Source organism: Homo sapiens, chromosome 17 (assembly GCF_000001405.40).
Source record: "Homo sapiens chromosome 17, GRCh38.p14 Primary Assembly".
Lineage (NCBI taxonomy): Eukaryota > Metazoa > Chordata > Mammalia > Primates > Hominidae > Homo > Homo sapiens.
The window spans coordinates 45,097,696-45,105,618 of record NC_000017.11 but is presented as its reverse complement, the minus strand read 5'-3'; the positions used below and the strand labels follow the sequence as shown (position 1 = coordinate 45,105,618).

The following is a 7,923-nucleotide window of genomic DNA, read 5'->3' as shown; positions in this document are numbered from 1 at the left end:
CTAGGAAAGCCAACAGGGAGAGGCAGAGCTGAGTTGACAGTGGCCCAAAGACTCTCCCACACCCCCTATCCCTGAAGTTCCGAGTGGCTGGGCCCGGGTCCACCGCCTGTGCTGTGGGAGCAGACTCACACCCAGCCGGCCCCACACTCAACCTCCACACCAGGGTTCACACGTCCATCAGACCTCCCAGGGAAAACTGGCCCACGCTCCAGCTCACCCCTATGTCCCCTGTGGCACTGGGGGAGGAAGGGCTAAGAAAGTGTCATGCCAGAAGAGGGCAGCAGCTCAGGAGAGGAAACCTCCTCAGAGTTCCCCCAGCCCTACCCTCCTGGCAAACCGTGGGCAACTCAACTTCCACGGTTCCCTCACGTGGGAAGGCCTCATTGGAGATGATCTTCGTGCTACTGTGTGGCTCTGTCCCCTCTGCCATCCTCACACCAGTTGCTGAGAGGGGAACGCTGACCTGCTGGTCTGGCCAGCAGAGGGAGGGCATTTTCAAAGGTTCAACTCGAGGTAACAAGGACCCAGACTGCGGCTGTCTCCTCAACCCATGGCCCGGTTTCTGCTGGAGACATGGACACCCTGGGCCGGGCAGCCTGGACTCTGGCTATGTGTCGCCTACCTTCTCTGCCCCCATGCTGGGGCATTTCCAATTGTAAAGGTAATACTGCAGGTTGCCGTCCCCTATGCCAAACTTGAGCTTCTCCAGGAAGGTTTTGTTCTCCATGAGATCCAGTGCATTGAACACATCAAACCCTTTCTGCAAAGCAGCAGGGACAAACAAGAACAGGTGAGGACAGGTGGGGACAGCCTCCTTCCTACCCCTTTGCTGCCATTTCAAAGCTGTCCTGTGGGCAGCCACAAGAACAAGGTTCCCTCAGAAGCTCCGCTGCTTCCACGTTAATCCCCGCTCTCCGGGTGGTTCTCAGGACACTCTGAGCGCCCCCTCCAGCCTGGCCTCTGCCCAGTGTCCCTCAGAGTGTACACATATGTACTCAGTGTCCAGGCCGGGGCTCTTGCTATTCCTGGTTATGCCTCCCTGAAACTCTAGTAATTTCCACAGTCCTCTCTGGAGTCCAAACCCTGAGCCCATTCCTCTGAGAAGCTGGCTCTGGTCAGCTACATGGGGTTTGTGTTGCTTCCTTACTCCATGGATGCCCCAACTCTCAGGCCCTCAGTGCACCTCATGTTGTATGACACCTGCTGTGTTGCTTGGAGACTGTGAAGATGCTTCCTAAACCTCACCAACTGGAGCAGAAGCTCTCACAGGGCAGGGACCAGATTGCCTACAGCAGGCTGGGCTGGGCTGGGCACAGGTTACCAGAACCCACAGCAAAGCACTGACAGACGGGCTCGCCATCCGCTACTGGCAGTTGGATGCTCCAATGACTCACCACGACAGACAGCAATCACCCCTTTCCCACGCTGGGAAAGCTGTGAGGAGAAGCCCTGTCCTCCCAGGGAAGGCCTGGCTATTCAGGCTCCTTGGTGGCGCCTCCTGTGAGAACGAAACTCACTGAAATGAATCAGGAGGAGTTCAATGCCTTCACTTCGGATGCTCCTTGTTCCCTCCAAGTTTTGAGTTTCTGCCTAAAAACTGCGGGAACCCTGCCTAAGCAGAACAGATGAGGAGGGCTCAGAGCCTCCAGCCCATGGGAGGCTGCGTCCCGGGAGCTGTGCTCACCATGGCTCCACTGCCTCTTCCCTGCACATCTCCAGAGACCCCCCCGTCTGCTCCTCACCATTTTGGCGAGGACAAGGGCGTCGCTCATGAGGTCTAGAAGAGGGGTCTGGGTGTGAACGTTGTAGAAAGAATAAGCAGCTTTGAGACTCTTGTGGGTTGGATGGTTCATGATGGTGGAGGGCAGCGTATAAAAGCTCAGGAAATCTGTCACCTCTCCGTTTGCGTTCTGAAGGGAAGGCAATAAAGAGGCAATGTCAAGCATGCACAGTGGCACTGCGGCCCGGGAACAAAATGTTTCTCTCACTCCACCTTCAGGCAGCTCTGCCCCTCTAGATAAATGGCTGGAAACTGCAACAGGACATGTGGGGAGGAGGAGGGACATTGGCTCAGGGCACTTGAGGACAGAGCCGTGATCGTGGGCTGAACCTGCCAGACCTCTTTCCCAGCATGGGCACCGCCAGGGACCTCTTCTTGCAGCTCACATCCCCCCAGACTGTGTCTCCTATGTCTGGTCAGCACTGGGTTAAGCTGGGACAGGCAGGGAATTGCAGGCTTTCCTGAAGGATTAAGCGGGGCTCAGTTCTCTCTATTTTGTGTTATCAAAGTGGGGCAGAGGGGGAGAAGGGCTCAAGCCAGATCCAGAGGTATCTTTTCAGCAAATTCAAGCACCAACTCCCTGTTTTTAGGGAGGACCAAACACGGATGGTCAAGGAAGTCTAAGGTGCCAACACTCGAGCCCTGGGAACCCGGCCACTCAGGGGGGTGCCTCTCTGGGAACGTGTTAGAGACCTGGAACACCACTCCCTGACTCACCTCCACCACGAAAGTGTCGATGATATTCTCCTGGGGGTAGAACCAGTGCTCCACCTCCTCCTGGCTCATGACGGGCGTAAGGTGAAATTGCTTCAAGTACCTGGTGAGGAGCTGGTGCACTACTGGAATGTCCTTTGTTTCCATTGGTCGCAGCCCAGCTGTCTTGGGAGTCTGGAGGCAAGACAGAAGAGATGGAGTGAGATGAGCTGATCACCCTGGATCTATCCATGGCAAGGACAGATCAGGCCCTCAAGAGAGAATCCCTGGTCATTCGGCGGCTCCCTGCACCCCCGTGCATATCTCCTCAGGCACAGGGCCTGCCTCTTCCGTATCTTCTGGCCCTTTCCCTCCTAGTCCAGGCAGACTCAGACTGCTACATCAATCAACCATCTACATGGCCCCAGGCTGACTCCCTAAGAAAACACAACCCTTCATGCTCCACCCTTGTTTCAAACTCCCCACCCCAGAAGACAAGAATTTCTACCCTTGGGCCAGGTTGGCCTTTCTAGCTGTACCTTCTGCCCACGCAGCCCAACAGTCCTCACAGGCTTCTCACTGAACTGTGACTGATGCCATCCCACACTCACTGCTCTTTCTCTGCTAGACTTAGAGCACTTCGCGGACAGACCCCAGGGCCCAGCCAGGGTCTGCCCACCCAGACACTATTACACCAGTACTTCCCAGAGAGACACGGCTGTGGGTTACATTCAGAAGAAAAGCAGCATACTCCCAGGATTTTATCCCCAGTCAGCGTCCCACCCGGCAGCTGCTTTTGCTAGAAAAATGCTTCAGTGGAATGAAACCATGTGATCCTGTGGAGCAAATACCGGGGCTGGTAGAACATCCCCAGAGGCTCAGATACACAAAGGTGGCCTTGGGGCAATCTGCAAACAGGGTGGTGTCACAGTTTACAGGCCTCAGTCAGTGCCTGACACAATGCTTCCCAGTGCAGGAATTGCTTTTAAAACTTCAGTTCTAGAACCTCCAGCCTCTAAAATTCCTTGCTAAATCCTCGTCTCTTTAGGGGAACGCTCAATGACCTCATTCTACATGGCAGCTCCCACAATGATACCTCAAATCCTGGACTGAAAACACAGCCATGCTGGGGTTTCCACCCAGACATGGGTGAGACATTCTTCTGCTGCTGCAGCACTCTAAGAATGCTCTCTGCCTGCCTGCCCACCGGCCTAGAACGCAAGGCAGATCTGTCATGAGAACAGAAGGGAGAAGACACATACCACAGTCCCCCAAGCCTGTGCTTTTGGCAGTGTCTAACGGTACTGCAGCAGTCTCTCAAGATGGGACACTAATGACCCCAATCACTAGGTGGATTAGCCTGATTTCAGAGTGATCAATCCTGTTTAGAGGCTGAGGAGTCCAGGCAGGCAGCCTCATGTCAGCAGGAACGCAGTGACTGTGTGCACTGATGACCAATAGGAAGAAGCACTCCGAGGAAAGAGAAGAGATTTTTTCTTTCTTTCCTTTTTTTTTTTTTTTTTTTTTTGCGACGGAGTCTTGCTCTGTCGCCAGGCTGGAGTCCAATGGTGCGATCTCGGCTCGCTGCAACCTCTGCCTCCCAGGTTCAAGCAACTCTGCTGCCTCAGCTTCCCAAGTAGCTGGGATTACAGGCACATACCACACCCAGCTAATTTTTGTGTTTTTAGTAGAGACAGGGTTTCACCATGTTGGCAGGATGGTCTCAATCTCTTGACCTCGTGATCCACCCGCCTTGTCCTGCCAAAGTGCTGGGATTACAGGCGTGAGCCACCGCCCACCTGAGAAGGGATTTTAAGAATCCCTACTGGGATGGGCACAGTGGCTCATGCCTGTAATCCCAGCACTTTGAGAGGCTGAGGTGGGTGGATCACTTGAGCCCAGGAATTCAGATGAGCCTGGGCAACATGGCAAAATCCTTTTTTTGTTGTTGTTGTTTTTTTTGAGATGGAGTCTCGCTCTGTGGGCCAGGCTGGAGTGCAATGGCGCTATCTCAGCTCACTGCAAGCTCCGCCTCCCGGGTTCACGCCATTCTCCTGCCTCAGCCTCCCGAGTAGCTGGGACTACAGGCGCCCACCACCAAGCCCGGCTAATTTTTTTTTGTATTTTTAGTAGAGACGGGGTTTCACCATGTTAGCCAGGATGGTCTCGATCTCCTGACCTCGTGATCCACTCGCCTAGGCCTCCCAAAGTGCTGGGATTACAGGTGTGAGCCACCGCGCCTGGCCTTCTTTTTTTTTTTTTTTTTTTTTTTTTTTTTTTTTTGAGACGGAGTCTTGCTCTGTTGCCTAGGTTGGAGTGCAGTGGTGCGATCTTGGCTCACTGCAAGCTCCGCCTCCCAGGTTCATGCCATTCTCCTGCCTCAGCCTCCCAAGTAGCTGGGACTACAGGTGCCCGCCACGCCACGACCAGCTAATTTTTTGTATTTTTATTAGAGACAGGGTTTCACCGTGTTGGCCAGGATGGTCTCGATCTCCTGACCTCGTGATCCGCCTGCCTTGGCCTCCCAAAGTGCTGGGATTACAGGCGTGAGCCACCACGCCCAGGCTTCTTTTATTTTGAGACGGAGTCTCGCTCTGTCGCCTAGGCTGGAGTGCAATGACGTGATCTTGGCTCACTGCAAGCTCCACCTCCCGGGTCCATGCCATTCTCCTGCCTCAGCCTCCCAAGTAGCTGGGACTACAGGCACCCACCACACCACGACTGGCTAATTTTTTATATTTTTACTAGAGACGGGGTTTCACCGTGTTAGCCAGGATGGTCTTGATCTCCTGATCTCGTGATCTGCCCACCTCAGCCTCCCAAAGTGCTGGGATTACAGGCGTGAGCCACTGCGCCTGGCAGCAAAACCCCGTTTCTATAAAAACAAAAATTGGCCGGGCATGGCGGCACACGCCTGTAGTCCCAGCTACTTGGGAGGCTGAGGTGGGAGAATCAGTTGAGTCTGGGAGGTCGAGGCTGCAGTGAGCTGTGACTGTGCCACTGCACTCCAGCCTGGGCAACAGAATGAGACCCTGTCTCAAAACAAAAAAAAAAGAATCCCTACCTGAAGCCAGCCACAGTTGGAGCATTTGTTTCTTTGGGAAACTAGGAAAACTGAGACCCAGAACAGAAAAGCAGCTCACTTTAAGGTTGCCCAGTCCTTCAGCCAAATCTGGGTGGGGAAATTGGGATTAGAAATCGGGGATCCCTCACAAGCTCAGGTCACCCTTTACCTGACCCGGCAGAGGGGCGTCACAGACCCTGTAGTGCATCTGCGCTGGGCTTTGGAACGCGCTGCCGTGTGTATGAAGGTTCACTAAGTGGATTCATCATTCTATTTATGCTTTACTTAGGCTAAAATTACAGAGAATAGGTGTTCTCTGAGCCTTTCAACAGATGGCAGAGAAGCTAGTCCAGGCACAGACTCAGAGGAACTGAGAAAGTTAAACTAAAATAAAATCCTGCTTCAGATAACAGAAATAGAAAGTCCAGGAAATCTGAAGACTATGGGCTGGTTCGCTTTTCCAGTAGGAGAAAGCTCCCTCTCCACCCAGAGCCCTTCTCTCCTGCTGACAGCCAGGCTCTCCTTGCCCTCTCTCTGCCCCCTGCCCACCACCCGGGGCAGCACTGGCCTCTGGCAGTCGGTAGAGCTTCATGGTGCGCTGCATGGTCATATTTCTGCTCAGGTGGGAGAACTTCACTTCAATCAGCTTCCGTGGGTTTAGGGACCGATGCCAATACCTGTGGGGACACAAATGTCCTGTCCTCAGGGTTCTGGCCAATCCCTATTACAAGGACAATGGCAGGGAGACCCCAGCTGGCCAGCAGGTGGCGTGAGAGACACATCAGGTGCCTCCGGAGTCAGTGGTGTCACCCTGCTCTCCAGCCTCCCCCTCCCCACAGTGAGTGCTGCCAAAGCTCCTCCTGGATTTTCTTTCTCCCTATTTTTCTTGCTCAATTTCAAAAACTATTCCTTTGCTACAGCGGTTGTCTGGGGAGACCAATCCTCACTCCTAGAATCAAGTCAACGGAAAAGGACTGTAGTCATGCCCAGAAGATGATGGCAGAGGCACTCACCCTCCTCCCTCCTCCCCTTCTGCTTTCACACCTGGTGTTTTTACTTTTAAAGTTCTCTAAGGAGAGATTATTCAATTGTTTTAAACAACTTTCTAAGGCAGAGGTTGCCCTTAGATCACATAGCTGACTTGCTCTATTTGGTGCACACAATATTCAAAACAATTTGAGCCAACCATTTAAAACTTTAGGACATTTCCCATAAAAATCCAGATTTGGGCTCATCCCTAAAAACAAAAACAAACCACCAGTACCGCCCCCCACCATCTCCAAATGGCAGCAGCCAGCAGACACCAAGAGCCCTCCAGACAAGGCAGGGACTTGCCAATCTGCCATCCCTACAACCCTCCCGCCCTCTCCATGCTCCCCATCTGGCTCCTGCAGGCACCAAGTGCCCGCCTTACCAGATACGCCAGAGGTGGGATGCTAAGGGCGGAGCTGTGACTCACAGTGGCACATGCTCCTCAACTACAGTGCAGACACCCGCATTTTTGGGGCCTTACAGGAAGACAGTTTTACCTGCAGGTGCCAACGGGCTTTGGTAGTACCACCCCGGCAGTGTAAACTGCTTGGAAGATGCCCTCCAGGTGAACCCGCCTGGTGATCTCTCGGATCAGAACTGGAGCAACCCTCTTGGAACGCAGCTTCTTGTGGACACACAGGAAGTTGATCTCTACCATCTTCTTCTCTCTAAGAGGGGGAAAAATCCAGGTGACAAGGTTTTTAACAGGGAAGGGAATGGTGATCCCATCAAGCACGTGCAGCCACACCTAGAAGGACCAGGTCTGCAGCACGGGTGTACTTTTAGCTGCCACCTGCACTCAGTACTGGGACTCCCCACCACACTCCACCAGGCAAGGAGCCTGCCTCACTTCAACAGAATCTATTTCCAAAGGAAGGTGGGACCCAAGCAAACACCTTTATTTGAAGGTACCACCAGCATCTCCCTGATGAGTCCCTAGGAGTTGGCTGGGGAATCCCACCTTTAGCATGCAGGGAAGCAGCACAGGGAACCCACGGGGCAGGTCAAGGCAATTCTAGGGTTTCAAGGGTTCTGATTCCCTCAAGAACACAGCTGGTAATAAGCCCTGAAGACTGTGGCAGGCAGATGGTTTCAACACTTCCAGGGAAAATGAAGAGCAGAGATCACAGGCCCCAAGGACTATCTGAATCTGGGTCACACTCGCTCTGGCCCATTTCTGCTGCTGTTCAAGTGCTTCCATGTGTGACTGGTACAGGCGTTCAAAAATGAGCCTCTGATTAGCCAGGTGTGGTGGCGCATGCCTGTAATCCCAGCTACTTGGGAGGCTGAGGCAGGAGAATCGTTTGAACCCTGGAGGTGGAGCTTGCAGTGAACCAAGATCGCACCACTGCAC

The 7,923-nt window shown here is 53.5% G+C and overlaps 1 protein-coding gene across 1 annotated transcript in view, besides 4 other annotated features; it reads right to left on the bottom strand.

The window, feature by feature from the left end:
* Positions 1-7,923, bottom strand: part of NMT1 (N-myristoyltransferase 1) — a 47,700-nt gene that overhangs the window by 3,398 nt on the left and 36,379 nt on the right. Inside the window, exons 7-11 of the mRNA NM_021079.5 lie at positions 7,067-7,237; positions 6,106-6,214; positions 2,498-2,668; positions 1,743-1,910; positions 623-760 (exon numbers count right to left, since the gene is read on the bottom strand). Of these exons, the coding sequence (NP_066565.1) occupies positions 623-760; positions 1,743-1,910; positions 2,498-2,668; positions 6,106-6,214; positions 7,067-7,237 (757 nt within the window). The remainder of the gene's footprint in view (positions 1-622; positions 761-1,742; positions 1,911-2,497; positions 2,669-6,105; positions 6,215-7,066; positions 7,238-7,923) is intronic.
* Positions 1,593-2,093: an enhancer, noted in NCBI's record as "H3K4me1 hESC enhancer chr17:43180894-43181394 (GRCh37/hg19 assembly coordinates)". NCBI's record gives its function as "activates a minimal SCP1, AML or CMV promoter by ChIP-STARR-seq in primed H9 embryonic stem cells {active_cell/tissue: H9 hESC(primed)}" and the evidence as "EXISTENCE:reporter gene assay evidence [ECO:0000049][PMID:30033119]".
* Positions 6,029-6,078: an enhancer, noted in NCBI's record as "active region_12273". NCBI's record gives its function as "activates an Ori minimal core promoter by ATAC-STARR-seq in GM12878 lymphoblastoid cells {active_cell/tissue: GM12878}" and the evidence as "EXISTENCE:reporter gene assay evidence [ECO:0000049][PMID:35858748]".
* Positions 6,490-6,990: an enhancer, noted in NCBI's record as "H3K4me1 hESC enhancer chr17:43175997-43176497 (GRCh37/hg19 assembly coordinates)". NCBI's record gives its function as "activates a minimal SCP1, AML or CMV promoter by ChIP-STARR-seq in naive H9 embryonic stem cells {active_cell/tissue: H9 hESC(naive)}" and the evidence as "EXISTENCE:reporter gene assay evidence [ECO:0000049][PMID:30033119]".
* Positions 6,991-7,491: an enhancer, noted in NCBI's record as "H3K4me1 hESC enhancer chr17:43175496-43175996 (GRCh37/hg19 assembly coordinates)". NCBI's record gives its function as "activates a minimal SCP1, AML or CMV promoter by ChIP-STARR-seq in naive H9 embryonic stem cells {active_cell/tissue: H9 hESC(naive)}" and the evidence as "EXISTENCE:reporter gene assay evidence [ECO:0000049][PMID:30033119]".